The sequence below is a fragment of the Homo sapiens genome, chromosome 16 (assembly GCF_000001405.40).
Source record: "Homo sapiens chromosome 16, GRCh38.p14 Primary Assembly".
Taxonomy (NCBI): Eukaryota; Metazoa; Chordata; class Mammalia; order Primates; family Hominidae; genus Homo; species Homo sapiens.
This window is the reverse complement of record NC_000016.10, coordinates 21,531,412-21,555,527: the sequence shown is the minus strand read 5'-3', so window position 1 is coordinate 21,555,527 and position 24,116 is coordinate 21,531,412. Positions and strand designations below refer to the sequence as shown.

General features: G+C 51.0%; 1 pseudogene, besides 7 other annotated features; it reads left to right on the top strand.

Moving 5' to 3' along the window:
* Nucleotides 435–1,245: an enhancer, noted in NCBI's record as "H3K4me1 hESC enhancer chr16:21565604-21566414 (GRCh37/hg19 assembly coordinates)". NCBI's record gives its function as "activates a minimal SCP1, AML or CMV promoter by ChIP-STARR-seq in naive H9 embryonic stem cells {active_cell/tissue: H9 hESC(naive)}" and the evidence as "EXISTENCE:reporter gene assay evidence [ECO:0000049][PMID:30033119]".
* Nucleotides 3,987–4,488: an enhancer, noted in NCBI's record as "H3K4me1 hESC enhancer chr16:21562361-21562862 (GRCh37/hg19 assembly coordinates)". NCBI's record gives its function as "activates a minimal SCP1, AML or CMV promoter by ChIP-STARR-seq in primed H9 embryonic stem cells {active_cell/tissue: H9 hESC(primed)}" and the evidence as "EXISTENCE:reporter gene assay evidence [ECO:0000049][PMID:30033119]".
* On the top strand, nucleotides 5,152–22,643 carry LOC646828 (carbonic anhydrase 5A pseudogene; annotated as a pseudogene).
* Nucleotides 5,231–5,731: an enhancer, noted in NCBI's record as "H3K4me1 hESC enhancer chr16:21561118-21561618 (GRCh37/hg19 assembly coordinates)". NCBI's record gives its function as "activates a minimal SCP1, AML or CMV promoter by ChIP-STARR-seq in primed H9 embryonic stem cells {active_cell/tissue: H9 hESC(primed)}" and the evidence as "EXISTENCE:reporter gene assay evidence [ECO:0000049][PMID:30033119]".
* Nucleotides 13,656–13,705: an enhancer, noted in NCBI's record as "active region_10557". NCBI's record gives its function as "activates an Ori minimal core promoter by ATAC-STARR-seq in GM12878 lymphoblastoid cells {active_cell/tissue: GM12878}" and the evidence as "EXISTENCE:reporter gene assay evidence [ECO:0000049][PMID:35858748]".
* Nucleotides 13,778–14,516: an enhancer, noted in NCBI's record as "H3K27ac-H3K4me1 hESC enhancer chr16:21552333-21553071 (GRCh37/hg19 assembly coordinates)". NCBI's record gives its function as "activates a minimal SCP1, AML or CMV promoter by ChIP-STARR-seq in primed H9 embryonic stem cells {active_cell/tissue: H9 hESC(primed)}" and the evidence as "EXISTENCE:reporter gene assay evidence [ECO:0000049][PMID:30033119]".
* Nucleotides 16,523–17,022: an enhancer, noted in NCBI's record as "H3K4me1 hESC enhancer chr16:21549827-21550326 (GRCh37/hg19 assembly coordinates)". NCBI's record gives its function as "activates a minimal SCP1, AML or CMV promoter by ChIP-STARR-seq in naive H9 embryonic stem cells {active_cell/tissue: H9 hESC(naive)}" and the evidence as "EXISTENCE:reporter gene assay evidence [ECO:0000049][PMID:30033119]".
* Nucleotides 17,023–17,524: an enhancer, noted in NCBI's record as "H3K4me1 hESC enhancer chr16:21549325-21549826 (GRCh37/hg19 assembly coordinates)". NCBI's record gives its function as "activates a minimal SCP1, AML or CMV promoter by ChIP-STARR-seq in naive H9 embryonic stem cells {active_cell/tissue: H9 hESC(naive)}" and the evidence as "EXISTENCE:reporter gene assay evidence [ECO:0000049][PMID:30033119]".

Below are 24,116 nucleotides of genomic sequence, written 5' to 3'. Positions count from 1 at the left end.
CAAGGATCATCCCCACTTTACAGATGGGGAAACTGAGGCTAGGAGGGGTGCAAAAGCTGGACCTAGAGCACACAGTTTGGGAGTGGCGGCCCCAGCTTCTGAACGTGCGTCCGACTGCACACGGTTTGGGAGAAGTGACCCCAGCCTCTGAACGTGCGTCCGACTCCAGACCCCACTCCTGCCCCCATGCTGTATTGTCTACAGGAAGAGCAGCGAAACACGGCTTTCCAGTTTTTAAAGAAATACGCTTGGCATTTTGCTGGTGGGCGGTCTTCGCGGCGCAGGTCTAATTTTGGAATTTACAGTGGGATTTAAAGTTTTCAGTGAGATTCTCTGTTTCACCTTGAAAGAGGCTCAAGGTGTATGAATCCCACACTAGACTGATGCTGAAGAGGAGCCTGTGGAATCCGCACCCGCTGGCATTTTCAGTAAAAAGGCCTCTGTGTCTTCCTGATATGCGTGCGCCCCGCGCGGGCCACGTTGCCAGGTTCCGGGTGCCTCTTCACCGAACTGCCACCAGGGGCCGCTCCAGCCCAGCCCGAGTTATCCATCGGCCACCGCACCTGCTGTTCCCGAAAACGCAGCGGCCCAGACTTCCTTTGCAGTTACCCTCTTAGAAGAACGAACGTTTCGCTTCCCTCCTCATTTGCGTATCATAGAGCCAGTGAGACACAGTAGCCTTTTTGGGTTTTCCCCTGAGCGTGCTTGGTCCCCAGCCCAGGGTGGCCGCCGTTTCAAGCAAGTCCCTTGCTCAGGTACAGGGGTGCAGATGCCCCGAGCCAGCCTGAGGAGGGGCCGCATGTCCCGAGGGCCCCATGGTTCCCCTCAGGAGGCAGATTGGAAAGGGCTGACTTGTCTCTTACTCCAATGAGTAGAGAGGCGGAGGATCCAGCCCATCAGAGGCTGCCGCAGTAAAGAATTCTGTGACAGGCTGGGTACGGTGGCTCACGCCTGTAATCCCAGCACTTTGGGAAGCCAAGGGGGGCGGATCATGAGGTCAGGAGATCGAGATCATCCTGGCCAACATGGTGAAACCCCGTCTTTACTAAAAATACAAAAAAAAAAAAAAATAGCCGGGTGTGGTGGTGCCCACCTGTAGTACCAGCTACTTGGGAGGCTGAGGCAGGAGAATCTCTTGAACCCGGGAGGCGGAGGTTGCAGTGAGCTGAGATCACGCCACTGCATTCCAGCCTGGGCGACAGAGTGAAACTCCGTCTCAAAAAAAAAAAAAAAAAAAAAGAAGAAGAAGAATTCTGGGACAGCTCGGGGTCGGGAAAGGTGAAGAGATGCCTGTGGGCTCCAGCCCTGCTGGAAACCCTTGGGAAAGTCTTCTAGCCCCAGAGTTAGCACAGCACCTTACCCTGCAGAGGCTCAGGGCTCACAAGTCCCTTCTGGTCCCAGCAGCTCCTGTTCCTGGCCCTTGTTGGTTGGCCACATTCTGGAGGGTGACTTTTCTACTAGGTTTTGTGGGTGGGGGTCTGGCAGGCATCGGCTGTCAGTGGACTTATGCCTTATGCAGTTGGCGTCGCTCTTTGGAACCCTATTTATGTGCCTACGTAGAACCCTAGAGTGCTTGAGCTGGGACCAGGAGAAACGTGTAGTAACTCTCTTTACACAGATGAAGCTGCGGAGCCCCTGAATGGTGTGCGATGCACAATCACCACCACTGCCATCATCAGACAACACTTTACAAAATGCCTCCTGCCTTGTCTCCATTTATCCTTCCCGCTCTTCTCGTTTAACAGGTAGAGAGGCTTAGGCTCAGAGAGGCTAAGCTACTTGCCCAGGGTCACACAGCAAGTTAGAAGCAGAGCTGAGTTGCAAATCCAGGTCTTTAACTATTTCTGTGTTCTGTGGACTTTCCTAGAAATCCCAGGCGGTTCCCAAACTGCCGTGGGAAAGGCTCGATTCCACTGTAACACACAGAGCTGCTTACCGACCGAGTGATTCGATGAATAAATCAATGAACTGACTAATCCCATTCATTCCTGTATTCATTCATCCCGTGAGGGTTCGTTGTGTGCCTTCAATGACCCCTTCCTGCACTAAGTCGTGTTGATACAGTGATGGTCCAGACGGAAACAGCCATTTTTGTTTGTTTGTTTTTGGTTTTTTTTGAGACTGAGTTTCGCTCTTGTTGCCCAGGCTGGAGTGCAGTGGCGCGATCTTGGCTCACTTTAACCTCCGCCTACCAGGTTCAAGCAATTCTCCTGCCTCAGCCTCCCAAGTAGCTGGGATTACAGGCACCTGCCACCACACGTGGCTAATTTTTTGTATTTTTAGTAGAGGTGGGATTTGACCATGTTGGTCAGGCTGGTCTTGAATTCCTGACCTTGGGTGATCCTCCCACCTTGGCCTCCCAAAGTGCTGGGATTACAGGCGTGAGCCACCATGCCCAGCCCAGAAACAGCCTCTGTCCTAAGAGTGCAACTGGATGGGACTTAACTCAGTCTTACAAATGACATCTACCAGGCTGGGTCCAGTCTAACTTGTCCATGAAGCATCCATCATCCCTGCCTTCTAGGCATTTCTATTCTAGAAGAGATGATACAGACATGCATGAATTTCCACACAGTAAACTTATCATGAGTGAGCCCATCCCAAGAGCGAGAGGCAGACCCCCTGGCAGGCTCCACCCTCAGCCACCCATCAATGCACTTTGATGCCGCTGGGGCTGGTAGGCTGCAAACCCCCTTTCTACCACGGACACAGGCCGAGGCGAAGCGAGCACAGAGCTCACCGTGCTTGCATTTTGTGGTTCTGTAAGTTCCTTACATTGTGTTTTGGAGGCCAGGCACAGTGGCTCACGCCTGTGTTTTGTTTTTGAGACAGAGTCTCGCTCTATCGCCCAGGCTGGAGTGCATTGGCACGATCTCGGCTCACTGCAACCTCCACCTCCCAGGTTCAAGCGATTCTCCTGCCTCAGCCTCCCAAGTAGCTGGGATTACAGGCACCCACCAACACACCTGGCTAATTTTTTGTATTTTTAGTAAAGACAAGGTTTTAGCATGTTGGCCAGGCTGGTTTTGAACACCTGATCTCAAGTGATACAACTGCCTTGGCCTCCCAAAGTGCTAGGATTACAGGCGTGAGCCACTGTGCCTGGCCTAACAAAGTGATTTTATGTGCTGATTGTGTGAAGCACTCTTTCTGTGTATTTTTAAAAATTGAGATGTAATTCATCTGTGTATATTTAAGGAGAATAGAAGACTTGCTCATAATGGTAGAATTTTAAAACTACATATGACTCCGAGGTTGCTCCAGACCAACACTGAGATTTTGAGTGAAGAGGGGCAGTGAGCAGCTCTGTGGCTTGGTCCAGCACTTGCCTAGCCCCTGACTGGACCAAAGCCAAATCCATTTTCCATTTTCCAGTTTACACCTTGGTGCCTCCAACTATGAGTACTTTTTTTTTTTTTTTTTTGAGACTGAGTCTCACTCTGTCGCCCAGGCTGGAGTGCAGTGGCACGTTCTCAGCTCACTGCAACCTCCACCTCCCAGGTTCAAGCAATTCTCCTGCCTCAGCCTCCTGAGTAGCTGGGAGTACAGGCGCCCGCCACCACACCCAGCTAATTTTTGTATTTTTAGTAGAGATGGGTTTCACCACGTTGGCCAGGCTGGTCTCTAACTCCTGACCTCAAGTGATCCACCCGTCTCGGCCTCCCAAAGTGCTAGGACTACAGGTGTGAGCCACCACGCCCAGCCCAAGTACTTTTGGTGTCAGGAAACCACCAGGAGTCAGCAGTGTCAAGCTCCCCAAGGCATTCGTCATGCGCTCAGTGCTTTCCTGGCTTTTGCCACAGCGGGAGGTGACATGAGCAAGGCGGGTGACACGAGGCTCCTCCACAGCTACGGGAGGCACTCGGGCCACCGCGAATTCGTGATCAGTGCTCCAGTTCTGCTGGCGCCTTCCAGCCTTGCCCAGCCATCCCAGGAGCACACTGTGCTCCTTTCAATGAAAACGTGTGGAATAGGTACCACATTTGTAGCAGCTGTTGATGGAAATCTGTTAGTGACAAAGTGCTTAGACACAGGAGAAGCCACCCACATCAGAACCCCTGGGGAGCTCGTTAAAAGGCAGACTCCCAGCACTACCTGGACCTGGGGATGGCAGCCATGACTCTGTGAGGCAGAGCCAGAGGCCTCAGTGAGCGATGCTTATGGCTGAGCCCCACGTGTCAGGAGAAGGAAGCTCCTGGGAGGCTGCACCTGGCACTGTGCCATGGAGAGGGGCACCCCAAGTCCTGCAGGTGGAGAGCGCTGACTCCAAGGCGAGTGTTTAGGGTGACTTAGGACGGAAGGAGTGTTCCAATAAAAGCTGGCCCTGTGGTGGGCCTAGATTAAGCAGGGACTGCCAGAGATCAGGACTGATGCTATAGCTCAGGGTCTGCTTATTTAAAAACCTTGCTCACCCAGGAGCGGTGGCTCACACCTGTCATCCCAGCACTTTGGGAGGCAGAGGCGAGTGGATCACCTGAGATCAGGAGTTTGAGACCAGCCTGGCCAACATGGTGAAACCCTGTCTCTACTTAAAATACAAAAATTGGCTTGGCCTGGTGGCACATGCCTGTAATCCCAGCTACTCAGGAGGCTGGGGCAGGAGAATCGCTAGAACCCAGAGGTGGAGGTTGCAGTGAGCTGAGATCATGCCATTGTACTCCAGCCTGGGCGATAGAGTAAGATTCTGTCTTAAAATAAAACAAAACAAAAACTTTGCTCATTGTGTTATTTTATAATGTTATTTGGTGATAGGATTTAAGCTGCTTTTAAAAAATATTTGGAAGACATCTTTTTTTTTTAAATTAAAGTCTGGAAATCTTATAGGACAGGCAGGCATCTCAGAAACTTTCTTTATCGATTTCTGCCTGCAGGGAGATGAGGCCCTCACCACCACCCAGTGGCAGCACTGGGACCCTGCCTTCATTCCACATTTACTGTGAACCTCTGGGCAGGCGCTGGGCTGGCGGGGGGCAGAGTGAATGGGACAGACAGAGCCCACCTTTCACGGAGCCCACCTTTGGCTTGTCACTTCAACCATACAGCAACCCCTTGCGAGTGAACTCATATAACCCTAATGTAGACAATGCCTCAGGTAACACCACAGCTCAACAAACAGACAAAATGACACACACGTCTCGCTGCCTTTATTTCCAGGAATTAGTGGCGGGCCCTTGGAAAACCACTACAGACTGAAGCAATTTCACTTCCACTGGGGAGCAGTGAATGAGGGGGGCTCAGAGCACACAGTGGACGGCCACGTGTACCCCGCAGAGGTTTGTAGACGTGGCCTAACGGCACATATCTGGACGCTTTCCATGTCTCCGGCTCTATGGTGGGGGGCGAACAAGCCATGCCTGCCGCTCAGATGTGAAGGATTTCCTGGGGCCTGGGACTGTCAGTGCTCAAACCAGAACCGTCGGCCGCCCCACCCGTTTAGTCACACTCCTCTCCTACGAAGAAGGCACTTTAAGTTCTCTCATTTAACGGAAGAAGAGACTGAGGTTCTGAATGGTTACGGAACTTGCCAAAGCCAGACAGCTGGGATTCAAAGTCAGAGCTTGAGCTCTTTGCCACGCTTCACTCAGCTGTGTGCTTGCAGCTGTAGGGACTAGCAAATCCACAAGGCCCTCCGCTGAGAAGCTGAACATCTTTGCAATAGAGATCATCTTCTTTTGTTTGTTTGTTTTTTGTTTTTTTGAAACAGGGTTCACTCTGTCACCCAGACTGGAGTGCATTGGTGCAATCTTGGCTCACCACAACCTCCGTCTCCCAGGCTCAAGCGATTCTCCTGCCTCAGCCTTCCGAGTAGCTGGGATTACAGGTGCGTGCCACCAGGCCCTGCTAATTTTTGTATTTTTAGTAGAGATGTGGTTTTGCCATGTTGGCCAGGCTAGTCTCGAACTCCTGACCTCAAGTGATCCACCCACCTCAGCTTCCCAAAATGCTAGGATAACAGGCGTGAGCCACTGCACCCAGCCAAGATCATCTTCTTAAAGCAGTCTTATTTTCAACATTCCAAAGTGGGAGTCAGTAGAGAAAATGAGTGCGGATCAATGCTGGGAATTGGTTTTTGTAGTTTTTTTGGGTGATAAGTGATGCCTTATAGATTTCCCCAAATATTTTATTATGAAATTTTTGCAACATATGAAAAAATGAAAAGAAATGAACGAGAAGAATCTATGAGTTTGACGTCTCAGTCCTGTGATGATCATTTTTGCCATATTCACTTTATCACACCTCTGCTCACCCACTCACCTGACTTCTTGATGCTTTTTCAAGTTGAGGACTCTTTCTGTTTTTTGAACTTGTTGTTGTTATGAAAGTAATGCTGCAGTTAATGTGGAACTAGAGTGCACCCAAACCAAAAAATGAAAATTGCTTGTAATCGCACACCCAGAGGTGACCTCTGGACATTTTATAAATAGGGAGTGATATCTATTGTCATCATCATACACATATTTATAAATAGTTCCAAGAATGAGCACAACAATGGCTTCTGTGTGCTTCCTTTCATTTAACAACATGCCTTTTATTTTAGTATCTCTATCTGCAACTTTGTTTTTGATGAACAGATATTTTATTTATTTATTTATTTTTGAGACTGAGTATCACTCTGTTCCCCAGGCTGGAGTGCAGTGGCGCGATCGCATGATCTCGCGATCTTGGCTCACTGCAACCTCTGCTGCCCAGGTTCAAGTGATTCTCCTGCCTCAGCCTCCTGAGTAGCTGGGATTACAGGCACCTGCCACCGCGCCCAGCTAATTTTTGTAGTTTTAGTAGAGACGGGGTTTCACCATCTTGGCCAGGCGGGTCTTGAACTCCTGTCCTCGTGATCCACTCGCCTCGGCCTCCCAGAGTGCTGGGATTACAGGCGTGAGCCACCACGCCCAGCCGAGGCCTGAGTTTTTTCTGGTAATCCTTGTCCAAGGATAACTAGGAAGTAGAAAATAATGAAACCACCCATTTCTATTGGATGAGGTTAACATGATCCTCTCCTTTTTCCCACCACCAGGAAGACTGAGGCTCTTCCTTCCCATGGCTTCGTCAAGTGCCTGGGAGCTCAGAGGTGCTGCTGGTGCTGGGATCTTACACATCTGGCTGCAACAACTTAGTTCTTTTTTTTTTTTTTTGAGACGGAGTCTCGCTCTGTCACCCAGGCTGGAGCGCAGAGGCACAATCTCAGCTCACTGCAAGCTCTACCTCCTGGGTTCATGCCATTCTCCTGCCTCAGCCTCCTGAGTAGCTGGGACTACAGGCGCCCATCACCATGCCCGGCTAATTTTTTTTTTTTGTATTTTTAGTAGAGACGGGGTTTCACCATGTTAGCCAGGATGGTCTTGATCTCCTGACCTCGTGATCCACCCACCTCGGCCTCCCAAGGTGCTGGGATTACAGGTGTGAGCCACCACGCCTGGCCATTTCATTATGATTAAGTGGACACATAGGTCAGCCATTCAGAAGGGGAAGTGACTGTCTTATTTCTTGCTGATCAATTTAAGTTCTCTTTCCATTGTGTTTCAGCTGCATTTAGTTCACTGGAATTCTGTGAAATACCAAAATTACAAGGAAGCTGTCGTGGGAGAGAATGCTTTCTGTGATAGGCGTGTTTTTAAAGGTAATCACTTGCTGGGGTGTAGATCTAATGAAGAAAGTGGTGATCCATCATTAGGATTGCTTTTTTTTTTTGAGACAGGACTCGCTGTGTCACACAGGCTGGAGTGCAGTGGCGTGGTCTCGGCTCATTGCAACCTCCACCTCCTGGGTTCAAGTGATTCTCCTGCCTCAGCCTCCCCAGTAGCTGGGACTATAGGAGTGTGCCACCACACCCAGCTAATTTTTGTATTTTTAGTAGAGACAGGGTTTCACCATATTGGCCAGGCTGGTTTCAAACTCCTGACCTTAGGTATCTGCCCACCTCGGCCTCCCAAAGTGCTGGGATCACAGGCGTGAGCCACCGTGCCTGGCCTAGGATTGCTTTTAAAACGTGGTGTATTTACAGTGGAGTGAGCTTCCCCCCGCCACCCATTGCCTTTTCAGCTAACCCCTTGTGTGTCTGCCACGCAGCTCGGGGCCCATCATCAGATGCTGCAGAGGCTGGTGGACATCTTGCTGGAAGTAAAACATAAGGTAAGCTGCATATTTGAAATCAGCAGGCCGGGCGCGGAGGCTCACGCCTGTGATCCCAGCACTTTGGGAGGCTGAGGCAGGTGGATCACCTGAGGTCGGGAGTTCGAGACCAGCCTGACCAACATGGAGAAATCCCGCCTCCACTAAAAATACAAAATTAGCAGGGTGTCGTGGCACATGCCTGCAATCCCAGCTACTCGGGAGGCTGAGGCAGGAGAATCGTTTGAACCCAGAGGTGGAGGTTGCAGTGAGCTGAGATTGCGCTGTTGCACTCCAGCCTGGGTGACAAGAGTGAAATCCTATCTCAAAAAAAAAAAAAAAGAAAAGAAAGAAATCAGCATAATTTGACAAGCAAAATTGTTTAGTGCAGCGATTCATTTGCAAGGAAAAAGAAATCTCATAGTGGAAAGAGCCCCGCCGAGGCGCTGTGATTCCAGTTCTGGAAACAGGATTCTGCAGGGTTGATGCTCGTGTGTCCACAGCTAGCTCTCTCTGACTTTGAATGCGTCACCACTGCTCTGGGACCCTGTTTCCTCCTCCATAAAATAAGGGTGTTGGGCTCAATGGAAGTTCCCAAAATTCAGTCATGCAGGCAAGATCCTGAAGACTTTGACGTATCTGCCTGCCAATGGGACAACTTTCTACTGAATATTTTTCTTTTCTTTTTTATTTTTTCGAGGAGTCTCCCTCTGTCACTCAGGCTGGAATGCAGTGGCGCGATCTCGGCTCACTGCAACCTCCGCCTCCCGGGTTCAAGCAATTCTCTTGCCTCAGCCTCCCATGCAGTTGGGACAATAGGTGTGCGCCACCACACCCAGCTAATTTTTGTATTTTTAGTAGAGACGGGGTTTCACCATGTTGGCCAGGCTGGTCTCAAACTGGGGACTTCAGGTGATCCGCCCGCCTTGGCCTCCCAAGGTGCTGGGATTACAGGCGTGAATCACCGCGCCCAGCCTACTTAATATTTTTCTTTAAATTGATTAGCTCGAAAAATTTTTAGCCTTGTCCTGGGTGATGATATTCACTAATGATAATGTTTGTTTGAAAACAGATTGAAACAAAAACCTCAAATCCCTAACTAATAACATTTAAGAATGTTGACTCATGTACCACCCAGCATCTCCTTGAACGTCCCTGTCCGACCCCAAGCCCAAGGGCAGAGAGAAACCTGCCCAAACCGCGGCTCTCCGGCCCAGCTCTCCACACGCTTCCCTGCATCCAGCGCCCAGCTCTCCACACGCTTCCCTGCATCCAGCGCCCAGCTCTCCATACGCTTCCCTGCATCCAGCACAGCTCGAAAAGATGACGGGGACAAGAGTGTCGCCTTTCTCCAAGATCAGCTGAGAAAAGGCTTTGAGGGAGAAGGAGAAATTCCAAAGAAATGTAGTTTATTTATTCAGCAGCAAACAAAAGAATTCCAGGGCAGAAGGAGTCAACGCAAGCCTCAGATGTGCGGAAGGATGAGGCTTCAACCTGTGTTAACAATGGTGCGGGCTGGTCCAGATGGAGCTGGGGCAAGCCCTTCCTCGCGGTTCAAGGAGCCGTTTGATCTGTACGTGGCCTTCGCCTTGATGCTGGCTTCGGGGCGGCCTCCTGGGACTGGGACCAGATCACCCCCCGCCGCCCCATCTGCCTGCTCAGAAACTTCACAAGGCCACGGTTCTGAGAGCTCTGACGCCCCATCCTCTTCCTCCGCGCGGCTCCACAGCCAGAGGAAACCTGGGGAGGGGTTGTTTTCCCAGCCAGCCTCCACCTTCCACACCAGGTGGTCCCACCTCTTGGTGGGAAAGAAAAGAGCTGGCTGTGAAGGACCCTTTACCCAAGGGCTGTTTTCCTCCTGGGGAAGGTTCTGGAGCATTTCTTCCCCATGGGGTAAGTCAGAATTTTCTAGGCAAACCACAGGGGAGGAATGATGCCCGGGACAGGGGAGGAAGTGCCACCGCGGACTGAGCTCTGGTCCTGATGCTGATCTCTGGGCTCATCCCCTCAGCTGAAAATAAAGAGTTAGACTCTTTTTTTTTTTTTTTTTTTGAGATAGAATCTCGCTCTGTTGCCCAGGCTGGAGTGCAATGGCGCGACCTCGGCTCACTGCAACCTCCGCCTTCCAGGTTCAATTGATTCTCCTGCCTCAACCTCCTGAGTAGCTGGAAGTACCGGCGCCCACCACCATGCCTGGCTAATTTTTGTATTTTTAGTAGAGACGGGGTTTCACCATGTTGGCCAGGCTGATCTCAAACTCCTGACCTCAAGTGATCCGCCCACCTTGGCCTCCCAAATTGCTGGGATTACAGGCGTGAACCACCGCGCCTGGCCGAGTTAGACCTTTGAGAAATTAAAAGACCTTAAGAGGCTGAGTGCGGTGGCTCAAGCCTGTAATCCTAACACTTTGGGAGGCCAAAGCAGGCAGACCACCTTAGGTCAGGAGTTCAAGACCAGCCTGGCCAACATGGTGAAAGCCTATCTCTACTAAAACTACAAAAATTAGCCAGGCATGGTGGCGGGTGCCTGTAATCCCAGCTACTCGGGAGGCTGAGGCGGGAGAATTGCTTGAATCTGGGAGATGGAGGTTGCAGTGAGCTGAGATTGTGCCACTGCACTCCAGGCCGAGTGACACAGCGAGACTCATCTCAAAAAAAAAAAAAAAAAAAAAGACCTTAGGAGGTAAAAGACCCAGCCTTGGGGGCAAGAGTCTATGCTTCACGGGTCAGGGAATGGGAAGAGACTTGAACAACCCTCTCGCCTAGAGGCTCCTAGCCTAGGACTTCTGGGAGCTTCTCCCATAGCACAGTGTATCAGAGAGCCCCACAGTTGGACTCCTGGGTCCAGAGCCCTGATCCACCACTCCTGAGCTGCGCACCTCTGAGCCTCAGCTTCCTCGCCTGTGAAATGGAGATGTTAAACATCCACAGTAGCCCGGGCGCGGTGGCTCACACCTGTAATCCCAGCACTTAGGGAGGCCGAGGTGGGTAGATCACCTGAGGTCAGGAGTTCAAGACCAGCCTGGCCAACATGGCAAAACCCCATCTCTACTAAAAATACAAAAATTAGCTGGGTGTGGTGGCACACTCCTGTAATCCCAGCTACTCAGGAGGCTGAGGCAGGAGAATCGCTTGAACCCAGGAGATGGAGGTTGCAGTGAGCCGAGATCATGCCACTGCACTCCAGTCTGGGTGACAGCTCGAGAATCCGTCTCCAAAAAAAAAAAAAATCCACACTAGAGCAGCATTCTCACCATGTAATGGAATAAGGAGCATGTCTGGTTCTTGGTGAAATGTGCAGTTGAGTTTAAGGCCCAGCTGTGGCCAACACTCACACACACACGTCTGCTGTGGAATGCACAGGCTGCTGCTGCCTGTCACGAAACGAAAATCCACCAGCCCAATCACTAAGGTTAAAGTCGCTTTTTGTTGCTGCGGGTGCTTTCAGTCAGCTGGTTCCCAGAGAGAGCTATTACCTTTTGGGAGTCCATGAAACTTTAGAATGATGGCCTTCTGATGGAAAATGCTAGAAGTGTGGTTGAATCTAACTCCTGATTGGTGGGCAGTGCAGGGCAGGACGGGGCCGTGGTGGCCTCAGGCTCAAGGGCAGATGGCCTTGGCTTCAAATCCCAGCTCTGCCTCTCACCCCCTCGGACTCAGCAGTCCTCACCCAGGGATGGGCTCATCTGCAGCTTCTGGGCTGCTTTCCTGGTTTCCTCCAGTTAAGGAACAAGCTGTCCTGAACTAGGGCAGGAAAGACCAGAGTCACGTAGTCCCCATCATCTCTCCTAGTTCCAGGCTGGTCCGGGCCCTGATGTGGGACTGACTCGGCAGAGACCCTCCAGGAATGCCTGCCACGGTCATTCCCTGGGGACCCAGCTGGCTTCTATGCAGTGCTCAGGGCTCCAAGGGTGCATTTCCAGAAAGAGCCAGATGGACACGATGTCTTTTCTGCCCTGGCTTCCAGAGTCACAAAGCACTGCTCCTGCGGCATCCTGTTCACCACTCCCACCAGGAGCACCTGCCCAGGCTCAGGGCAAGGCGACATCACCCCACACCTCGGTGGGAAGGGTTCAAAGAAGCGACAGCCCTCCATATAAATCATCACACTGAATCTTCCAATCACTCCATGGGGCAGGGCCTGTGATTCATCTGTCTTGCACACACAGGGAAACCAAAGCTCAGAGAGGCAGAGAAGGCCTTGCCCGGGCACACAGGTGGCAGGTGAAGAGCCCGTTTTTAAACCCAGGAAGTGGCTCCATGCAGCCTGAACTCCCAGTCGTCCCAGCGCCCACCTCCCACATGCAGTCAGAACCCAGGCTGAGCTCCAGGCCCTGCTGCACATTTCTGAGCTTTTCAGCAGCTTAGAGGGAAACACAGGCAGTGTCTATAACCAAAACCACATTAGGCGCCGCCTGGAAGCCCGGACCCCCACCCCCACCCCCAGCGCCGTCCCATCTGCACAGGCCCCTACCAGTGCTGACCTGTCACTATGCACTCAGCTCCCAGCACGCAGGCCCAGCCCCAGTGTGGCCCCGGTGACCCTGGGCAGACACTCCCAGAATGGAGACCTCGAGGCTTCGCCTTTGACCCTCTCACCATAGCCAGAAGTTTTGGCAAAAACTGCCCACAGAGGGTCCCCACCCTCCATGCCTGGACAAGCTGCAAGCTCCTCAGGCTGCTGGGGCCCCCCCTCCTCCCTGCCTTCGCAAGAGTCAGGGCTACCGGGGAATTGGCTGCCTTGTGGAGCTGGAAACAGCCCACCAGGTCCAGGGGATCCAGGGAATGGCTCTATGCCCTGTGGGGGCTCTTCTAGCTTTGGCAGCAGCAGCGGCAGCACCTACCGAGCCCCACGCCCATGTGGCAGGCACTGATGGAAGCCCATTACAGCCACCACACTGCCTGTCGTACACCTGGGGAAACTGAGACTCTAAGAGGACAAACCAAGGGCGGAGTTAGGCTGGGTGAGGCTTGACGCTCATAAAATGCGGGGTCCTGTTTAAGAGAAAGAAGACAAAACCAGGAACAGAGCGGTGGCTCACGCCTATAATCCCAGCACTGTGGGAGGCTGAGGCGGGTGGATTACCTGAGGTCAGGAGTTTGAGACGAGCCTGACCAACATAGAGAAACCCCATCTCTATTACAAATACAAAATTAGCCAGGCGTGATGGTGCATGCGTGTAATCCCAGCTGCTAGGGAGGCTGAGGCAGGAGAATCGCTTGAACCCGGGAGGTGGAGGTTGTGGTGAGCCGAGATCGTGCCATTGCACTCCAGCCTGGGCAACAAGAGCGAAACTCCGTCTCAAAATAAATAAATAAATAAGAGAAAAGTGGAACAAGTCACCAACCCACTTCCGCCAGCAAAGGCTTGTGGTGCTTTCCACAGGTAGCTGGGCCATCCGTGCTCAGATAATGGATGTGATGGTCTTCAGCCTCATTGGTGTGCTCACCGGTGTCCCATTCTAGCTGCCTGGGGCTCACCACACGCATAAAGGAAGGGCCCTGACTTCCTCTGGGGGCCCTGAGGGGGAGCAGCTTTCTGTAACCACATGGCTGCTCCAGCCCTCATGCATCTTAGAGACAGGACAGGAACTCCTGGGGACGATGAGGCAACACACAGGCATCCTCTTCTCAGCCCAAGGCTGGAAAGCTTAATTGGCAGGAAACCTGCACGCAGTGGAATGGCTGGGGCCTGCCGCTCCCCCGACTGATTCCTGCAGTCCTGGGGAGGGAGAGATGAGCCCGCACCTTGGAACGGGCCAGGCCTCAGTGGCCCTGACTGGCAACGTGGCTTTGGGCAAGTTGTTTATATCTGTCTGTCTATCTTCATCAGTAAACTAGAAATACTTCTTGAAGGGTTGTTCTGAAGATTTGAAGTAGTTGCTCAGAAAGTGACTGGCACATCTGTGCCCTGGGAGCGGGGACGTGTGGCCGGCAGGAGGAGAGGACATCTCACTGCACACCTGCCTGTTACCCATGTGCACAGACCAACGTCTCACTGCACACCGACCTGTTACCCATGTGCACAGACTGACATCTCACTGCACACCCGCCTGTTACCCACGTGCACCAGACTGACACCTCACTGCACATCCACCTGTTACCCACGTGTACAGACTGACGCCTCACTGCACACCCACTTGTTACCCACGTGCACCAGACTGACGCCTCACTGCACACCTGCCTGTTACCCACGCGCACCAGACTGACATCTCACTGCACACCCGCCTGTTACCCATGTGCACAGACTAACACCTCACTGTGCACCCACCTGTTACCCATGTGCACAGACTGACGTCTCACTGCACACCCGCCTGTTACCCATGTGCATAGACCAACACCTCACGGTGCACCCACCTGTTACCCATGTGCACAGACTGACGTCTCACTGTACATCCATCTGTTACCCATGTGCACAAGCAGCCTGCTCCTTCACAGCCCAGCTAGAGTGTGCAATGGGATGTCAACCCAGCTAGACCATGCAATGAGATATTACTTGGCAATCAGAAAGGACACAGCTCTAACTCACGCTGCGGTGTGGGTGAGCCTCAAAAGCACCGTACTAAGTGACAGACGCAAGACACAAATGTTCCACATGTTACATGACTCAGTTCCTATGAAACCCACAGAGACAGAAGCAGCACGGCGGGGGTGGGGAGAAGAGCTAAAAAGTACCAAGCTTCCTCCTTGAGGTGCTGAAAATGTTCTAAAATTGACTTGGGATGGCTGCACAACTGTGAATATACCCAAAACCATAGAATTGTACACTTCAATTTTTATTTACTTTTTCTGGTTTTTTTTTTTTTTTTTTTTTGAGATGGAGTTTCACTCTTGTTGCCCAGGCTGGAGTGCAATGGCATGATCTCAGCTCACTGCAACCTCTGCCTCCCAGGTTCAAGCGATTCTCCTGCCTCAGCCTCCCGAGTAGCTGGGATTACAGGCATGCACCACCACGCCTGGCCAATTTTGTATTTTTAGTAGAGACGCAGTTTCGCCATGTTGGTCAGGCTGGTCTCGAACTCCCGACTTCAGGTGATCCACCCGCCTTGGCCTCCCAAAGTGCTGGGATTACAGGCATGAGCCACTGTGCCCGGCCTATTTACTTATTTTAAGAAAGGATCTCACTCTGTCACCCAGGCTAGAGTGCACTGGTATGATCACAGCTCACTGCAGCCTCAACCTCCGGGGCTCAAGCCATCCTCCCACCTCAACCTCCCAACTACCTGGGACCACAGGCATGTACCACTGCACCTGGCTAGTTTTTGTGTTTTTTGTAGAGTCAGATTCTTGTTATGTTGCTTAGGCTGGTCTCAAACTCCTGGCCTCAAGCAGTCCTCCCACATCGGCCTCCCAAAGTGCTGGGATTACAGGCATGATCCATCGCGCCCAACCAGGTTGTACACTTTAGATGGGAGAGTTGCATGGTATGTGAATTCTATCACAATAATGCTGTGGGTTTTGTTGCTGTTGTTGTTGTTTGAGACCGAGTCTCTCTCTGTTGCCCAGACTGGAGTGCAATGGTGCAGTCTTGGCTCACTGCAACCTCTGCCTCCTGTGCTAAAGCAATTCTTGTGTCTCAGACTCCCGAGTAGCTGGGATGACAGGCACCTGCCACCATGCCTGGCTAATTTTTGTATTTTTAGTAGAGACGGGGTTTCGCCATGTTGGTCAGGCTGGTCTTGAACTCCTGACTTCAGGTGATCTGCCTGCCTTGGCCTCCCAAAGTGCTGCAATTACAGGCATGAGCCACTGTGCCCAGCCTATAATGCTGTTTTTTTTTTTTAATTAACTGGATAATTATAAACGTGAACACGTGTGCACAGAACTGATGCATGTGTCTGCCGGCGTGGACACTCCTGGGCTTCCTTCTGGTAGCTCAGCCGCCTCTCTTGACCCTGACCCTCACTGCTTGATGTTAGGAGACAAGCCCAAGGCATCTAGGTTGCTGGCTTCCACCTTGGAAGGCCAGGGCCCAGCAAAGTCAAGGTGATGTGATGTGGCTGAGCAGGGAGGCCATCTTCCTTCCAGACAGAGACTCTGTCACTTTGGACTGGACTCTTGTCCCACAGTGCTGGCCAGGGACAGGTGCAGAGTTGTGCTTGGTTGGCATGGGACGCTGATGAGGGCTGTGTTGCGGCCAGGCCCAACCACCATGAGCCGAGATCATGCCACGGCACTCCAGCCTGGAAGACAGAGTGAGACTCTGCCTCAAAAAAATAAAAAAAATAAAAAGTTATAAATAGAACTACCCTATGATTCAGCAATCACACACTTCTGGGTATATATCCAAAAGAGCTGGCTGGGCACAGTGGCTTATGCCTGTAATCCCAATATTTTGAGAGGCCAAGGCAGGAGGATCACTGGAGCCCAGGAGTTGGAGAACAGCTTGGGCAAGATGGCAAGACCCCCTGGCTACAAACAATTAATTTTAAACCCTGGTATGGTGTCCTAGCTACTTGGGAGACTGACGCGGGGGGATCACTTGAGCCCAGGAATTAGAGACTGCAGTGAGCTATGATGGCATCATTGCACTCCTGCCTAGTTGACAAAGTAAGACCCTGACTCTTTTTTTTTTGTTTTTTGGCTGTGAGTGTATTCAATGCAAAATAATCCTCTCTAATTTTACGGAGGTGGCTGGCCATGTCCACGACCAAATCTGCCTCTAAACTGGAATTCGGTTGCTGACCCAGCCCGAGCCTCAGCTTTCTTATCGGCACCAGGGGCACAGCACTCCGTCTGTAGGTATGTCTGTCGGCTTCCCCTCTTGTGAGTCTTGCAGGTCGCCCACCCTCCAGACCTTTAGGCCGAGGCCTGCCAGTCCCTGGACGGCTGCAGCGTAGGGTGGCAGGCACAGTTTCCAGGGACAGATGAAGGTAATCACGGAGATACTGGATACCCTGATCGGTAAGGTAGCAGTAGAAATGTCTCCAGGCAAGCCAGGCACGGTGGCTCATGCCTGTAATCCCAACATTTTGGGAGGCCGAGGTGGGCGGATCACGAGGTCAGGAGATCGAGACCATCCTGTCTAACATGGTGAAACCCCGTCTCTACTAAAAATACAAAAAATTTGCCGAGCGTGGTGGCGGGTGCCTATAGTCCCAGCTACTGGGGAGGCTGAGGCAGGATAATGGCATGAACCCAGGAGTTCAAGCTGGTCTTGAACTCCAGGAGGCGGAGCTTGCAGTGAGCCGAGATCACACCACTGCACGCCAGCCTGGGTGACACAGCGAGACTCTGTCTCAAAAAAAAAAAAAAAAAAGCAACAATGCAGGGACTCCTGACACATGCTCCAATGTGGATAAACCTGAAGGACATTATGCCCAGTGAAATAAGCCAGACACAAAAGACAAAAACCACAGGATCCCACCCACATCAGGTCCCCAGAGTCCTCAGATTCAGAGAGATGGAAGCAGAATGGTGGGTGCCAGGCCTGGGGGAGGAAGCTGGACATAGTGTTTAGTGGGGTCAGGACAGAATTTGAGTTTGGGATGATGGAAAAGTTCTGGAGACGGATGGTGGAGATGGTTGCACCACAATGTGACTGCATTTAACGCCATCAAATTTTACACTTCAAAATGGTTAAGATGGGCCGGGCATGGTGGCTCATGCCTCTCATCCCAGCGCTGTGGGAGGCTGAGGCAGGTGAATCACCTGAGATTGGGAGTTCAAAACCAGCCTGACCAACATGAAGAAACCCCGTCTCTACTAAAAATACAAAATTAGCAGATGTGGTGGCGGGTGCCTGTAATCCCAGCTACTCAGGAGGTTGAGGCAGGAGAATCACTTGAGCCTGGGAGGCGAAGGGTTGCAGTGAGCCAAGATCGCACCATTGCACCCCAGCCTGGGCAACAAGAGCAAAACTGCATCTCAAAAAAAAAAAAAGGTTAAGACGGTAAATTTTATGTTATGTATATTTTATCACAATAAAAAGTAATATTTTTTGCAGCCAAGGTATGCTAAAAGAAATGGCTTTTTAATTTTTTATTATTTATTTATTAATTATTATTATTATTTGAGACAGAGTCTCACTCTGTTGCCCAGGCTGGAGTGCAGTGGCGTGATCTCAGCTCACTGCAACCTCTGCCTCCTGGGCTCAAGCAATTCTCTTGCCTCAGCCTCCTGAGTAGCTGGGACTACAGGCGCCCACCACCACATCTGGATAATTTTTGTATTTTTAGTAGAGACAGGGTTTCATCATGTTGACCAGGCTGGTCTCGAACTCCTGACCTCAAGTGATCCACCCGCCTCGGCCTCCCAAAGTGCTGAGATTACAGGGGTGAGCTACTGCGCCCCAAGAAATGACTTCAAAAGGAAAAATGTAAGCACCAACATAAGCTGGTGTAATGTAATGTAATTCCCACCAATGTAAGTTGGCAGGAATCCTTGCTCTGTATAGAAGGCTCACATTTTCTTATCACTGCTTCCAAGTGTGACAGCAGTGGCCTCATGGCCTTATCTCGGGGAAAGCACTTCCTTCCAAGCACCATGAAGGCCTCCCGTGCTGAGACAAGATGGAAGCTCCTAGTCCCACCTGAGGACTGATACGGCCTGTGCTTCTCGGTCTCTCAGGACGCGCAGGCGGCCATGCGCCCCTTCGACCCCTCCGCTCTGCTGCCCACCTGCTGGGATTACTGGACCTATGTGGGCTCGCTCACCACCCCGCCGCTGACCGAGTCGGTCACCTGGATCATCCAGAAGGAGCCCGTTGAAGTGGCCCCAAGCCAAGTGAGCCGTGCCCGTAACTGGCATGATGGCGCTTCATGGAAGGCGTCTCTCTTGCTTGGCAGCGTCACTAAGATGCTGCATAAGAGCCTTGAGGAGTTATATATATTCTTTCATGCATTTGGGGTGTTCTTACACAAGAAGAAAGTTCCAATTGAAGTAGGAGCTTGTTGAGATTGGACAGCGGTTCCAGTGATCACAGCGAGCATGTTCTGAGCAACGCCCTAATCTATCACACACAGACACACAAGGCATCCATGGGAGTTGTCCCAGCGTCATGGGTCTGCATGGTTTTTGTTTTCTTCCTTTTTCTTTTCTTTCCTTTTTTTTTTTTTGAGACAGAGTCTCGCTCTGTCGCCCAGGCTGCAGTGCAGTGGCTCGATCTCAGCTCACTACTACCTCCACCTCCTGGGTTCAAGCAATTCTCCTGCCTCAGCCTCTCGAGTAGCTGGGATTACAGGCACCCATCACCACGCCTGGCTAATTTTTGTATTTTTAGTAGAGACGGGGTTTCACCATGTTGGCCAAGCTGGTCTTGAACTCAGGTGATCTGCCCACCTTGGCCTCCCAAAGTGCTGGGATTCCAGGCATGAGCCACCGAGCCCGGCCTCCTTTTTCTTATCTAAATAGTTTCATTGCTTTTTTTTTTTTTCGAAAATTAGTTAATAATCCTTGTATACATTTTTAAAAGTTATACTATTGGGCTGGGCGTCATGGCTCATGCCTATAATTTTAGCACTTTAGAAGGCTGAGACAGGCAGATCACTTGAGGCCAGGAGTTCGAGACCAGCCTGACCAACATGGTGAAACCCCGTCTCTACTAAATCTACAAAATTAGCCAGGCGTGGTGGTGCACGCCTGTAATATCAGCTACTTGGGAAGCTGGGGCAAGAGAATAACTTGAAGCCGGGAGGTGGAGGCTGCAGTGAGCCGAGATCGCACCACTGCACTCCAGCCTGGACAACAAGAGCAAAACTCCATCTCAAATAAATAAATAAATAAAAATACAAAAATTAGCCAGGCATGGTGGCGTGTGCCTGTAGTGCCAGCTACTTGGGAGGCTGAGGTAGGAGAATCACTTGAACCTGGAAGGCGGAGGTTGCAGTGAGCTGAGATGGCACCACTGCACTCCAACCTGGGCGACAGAGTGAGACTGTCTCAAAAAAATAAAATAAAAAATAAATAAAAGTTATACTATCATTTTTTTCTGGAAATCTTAAGAATCTATAGCAATTCTGTCTGTCCAAGGCAGTTCAGAGCCACAGGCATGCTGCCTATGCCCCGCCCCCGCCCGGCAGACGTTTCTCAGCAGTCGCAGCAGGACTTAGCATCTCTGGCTCATCTCTTTCTGAGGGCTCCAGGTGAGCTCTTAGAGGGTCTTTCAGTCTCCTGGGCCTGTGAAAATATTCCCTTATATACAAACCATGGCATGATGTCATTTGCACGTGGAGATGTGGGATGCAGAATATCTGCCTACCTCCAAACCAGAGCTGTTGGACATGGGGAAGGCTTTTGTTGAAGGTGGCCCCTTGTCAGCAAGGCCCTTATGCTACTCAACAAGCATATATGTGACAAGTGCCCATTCTGGGTCTGTGCCACCAAGAGAGGGTGGGAGGGGGGCAGGTGTGGAGGGGCGGCACAGGAACAGGGCATTCGTCTCAGAATACTGCTGTCTGGCAGGAAAGTAGAAACGAAGCCAATAGTATTAAGCCAGGGTGGCCGGTGTCATATAAAAATGCAGGGCAGGAGCTCCTTATCCTGAGCAGGGGAGCCAGGGAGGCACATGTCCTGGAAGGCGGGGAGTTTTCCAGGGGAGGAGAAAGGCTGCCTTTCTGAGACAGTCAACAAATGTGCAGACCACAAATGTGGATGAGCACACTGTGGTCATGGCCCAGGAGGCCACGTGCACCATGCGCGCGCAATTCTAGGGGGCGCTGGATCATCATGCAGGGCTAACTGGCCCAGTATGCTGTCAGCATGTAGACATAATCTCACTTCTGAATTTAATTAAATGCGTGAGTTGCCTCACAGAGTTCATAAGTATATTCTGTGAACAAGTGAGATAATACATAAAAAGTCTTTTTTTATTTTTCATTTATTTATTTATTTTGAGACAGAGTTTCCCTGTTGCCCAGGCTGGAGTGCAATGGCGTGATCTCGCTCACCACAAGCTCCACCTCCCAGGTTAAAGCGCTTCTCCTGCCTCACCCTCCCGAGGAGCTGGATTACAAGCATGAGCCACCACATCTGGCTAATTTTGTATTTTTAGTAGGGATGGGGATTCTCCATGTTGGCCAGGCTGGTCTCAAACTCCTGACCTCAGGTGATTCACCCACCTTGGCCTCCCAAAGTGCTGGGATTACAGGCATGAGGCACTGCATCCAGCCATAAAAAGTAGTCTTTTAGTTCCTTGAGTGAAAAGTAAATTCAAATGTTACTTTAGCATTTACATTATAGGTGTTAGTTATCTATTGCTGTGTAACAAATAGCTCCAAAACATAGTGGCTTTAGAAAACAATCATTTGGGCCGGGTGCAGTAGCTCATGCCTGTAATCCCAGCACTTTGGGGGCCGAGGCGAGTGGATCGCCTGAGGTCAGGAGTTCAAGACCAGCCTGACCAACATGGTGAAACCCTGTCTCTACTAAAAATACAAAATTAGGCTGAGCACAGTGGCTAACGCCTATAATCCCAGTACTTTGGGAGGCCGAGGCAGGTGGATAACCTGAGGTCAGGAGTTTGAGAGCAGCCTGACCAACATGGAGAAACCCCATCTCTACTAAAAATACAAAATTAGCCGGGCGTGGTGGTGCATGCCTGTAAGCCCAGCTACTCAGGAGGCTGAGGCAGGAGAATCCCTTGAACCCAGGAGGCGGAGGTTGCGGTGAGCAAAGATCACACCATTGCACTCCAGTCTGGGCAACAGGAGCAAAATTCCATCTCAAAAAAAAAAAAAAAAAATTAGCCGGGCATGGTGGCTCATGCCTGTGATCCCAATTACTCGGGAGGCCGAGGCAGGAGAATCGCTTGAACCTGGGAGGCGGAGGTTGCAGCGAGCTGAGATCTTGCCAATGACACTCCAGCCTGGGAAACAAGAGCGAAACACTGTCTCAAACAACAACAACGACAACAAAAACCAATCATTTATTATCTCCCATAGTTTCCTTGGGTTGTGAATTTGGGTGGCTCTGGCTTACCATCTTTCATGAATTGTAGCCCAGTGTCAGCTGGGACTGTAGCGATCTGAAAGCTCAACTAGGGCTAGAGGATTCATTCCAAGGTTGGCCCTCTCAAGTGGATGGCAAGTTGGCGCTGGCAGTTGGCTGGGAGCCTCAGCTCCTTTCCCTGTGGGCCTCTCCTCGGGGCTGCTTGAGTACCCTCCCAATATGGTGACCAGCTTCCCCCCAGAGCAAGTGATCCTAAAGACCAAGGCGGAAGCGGCAATGCCTTTTATAACCTGGCCCTGCACACACCATCACTTCCACCATCTTTACTGGTCATTTCAGGCCATCCTGATTCAGCATGGGAGGAGACCACACAAGGCCTGAGGGACACCCGGGGGCTGGCTCACCCTGCACTCATACCAAGCTCACCCTGGCTGCCCTCTATTCCAGCTCTCTGCATTTCGTACTCTCCTGTTTTCTGCACTTGGTGAAGAGAAGAAGATGATGGTGAACAACTATCGCCCACTTCAACCCCTGATGAACTGGAAGGTCTGGGCGTCCTTCCAGGCCACTAATGAGGGCACAAGATCCTAGAGACATTAGGTCCACATGAATAGCAGAACTGACTTTGAAGGAAGGAAGCGTTGTTACCCAGGAGATCGAGACCATCCTGGCCAACACGGTGAAAACCTGTCTCTATAAAAAACACAAACATTAGCTGGGTGCGTGCCTGTAATCCCAGCTACTTGGGAGGCTGAGGCAGGAGAATTGCTTGAACCCGGGAGGCAGAGGTTGCAGTGAGCCAAGATTGCACTATTGCACTCCAGCCTGGGCAACAAGAGCAAAACTCCGTCTCAAAATAAAAAGGAATTCTTGTGAGGCCAGGCACAGTGGTTCACGCCTGTAATCCCAGCACTTTGGGAGGCTGAGGCAGGTGGATCACTTGAGGTCAGAAGTTTGAGACCAGCCTGGCCAACATGGTGAAACTCCGTCTCTACCAAAAATACAACCAAAAGTAATCTGGCAGGATAAAACCAGAAAACATACACAATTTGATGTCAAGACCTATTTCAAAAGCTATAGTAGGCCAGGCGCAGTGGCTCATGCCTGTAATCCCAGCACTTTGGGAGGCCGAGGTGGGAAGATCACCTGAGGTCAGAAGTTCGACACCAGCCTGGCCAACATGGCGAAACCCTGTCTCTGCTAAAAATACAAAAATTAGCTAGGTGCGGTGGCTCATGCCTGTAATCCCAGCTACTCAGGAGACTGAGGCAGGAGAATCGCTTGAATCTGGGAGGCAGAACTTGCAGTGAGCTGAGATCATGCCACTGCACTCCAGCCTGGGCGACAGAGCGAGACTCCATATAAAATAAATAAATAAATAAAAATAAAAAGCTATATTAATTAAGATAATGTGGTACCTGTCAGAGAAGGACAAATCAACCAATGAAAAAGAATAGCATGTCTAGAAGGTTCCACACATTTGTGATCCCTGAGTCATGCTGTAGGGAATGGATGGGCTTTTCTGTGAATAGTTTTGGATCATTTGGATACTTATCTATCTATGTATTGATTGATCGATCAATTCATCTGTCGATCCACAGGGTCTCACTATGTTGCCCAGGTTGGTCCTGAACCCCTGAGCTCCAATAGTTCTCCTGCTTTGACCTCCCAAAGTGCTGGGATTACAGGCATGAGCCACCCCACCGAGCCAACGGGATATCCAAATGGGGAACCATGAATCTTTTTTCTCACCATACCTCACACCCCTACCTCACAGCACACACAAAAATTAATTCCTGACAGACTATAGATCTAAATAGGAAAGGTAAAACAATAAAGCTCCTAAAAAATAACATAGGAGCCAGGCGCTGTGGCTCACGCCTGTAAACCCAGCACTTTGGGAGGCCAAGTTCCAGACTAGCCTGACCAACATGGAGAAACCCCATCTCTACTAAAAATACAAAATTAGCCGAGCTTGGTGGTGCATGCCTGTAATCCCAGCTACTCGGGAGGCTGAGGCAGGAGAATTGCTTGAACCCGCGAGGCAGAGGTTGTAGTGAGCCGAGATCGCGCCATTGCATTCCAGCCTGGGAAACAAGAGCAAAACTTTGTCTCAAAAAAAAA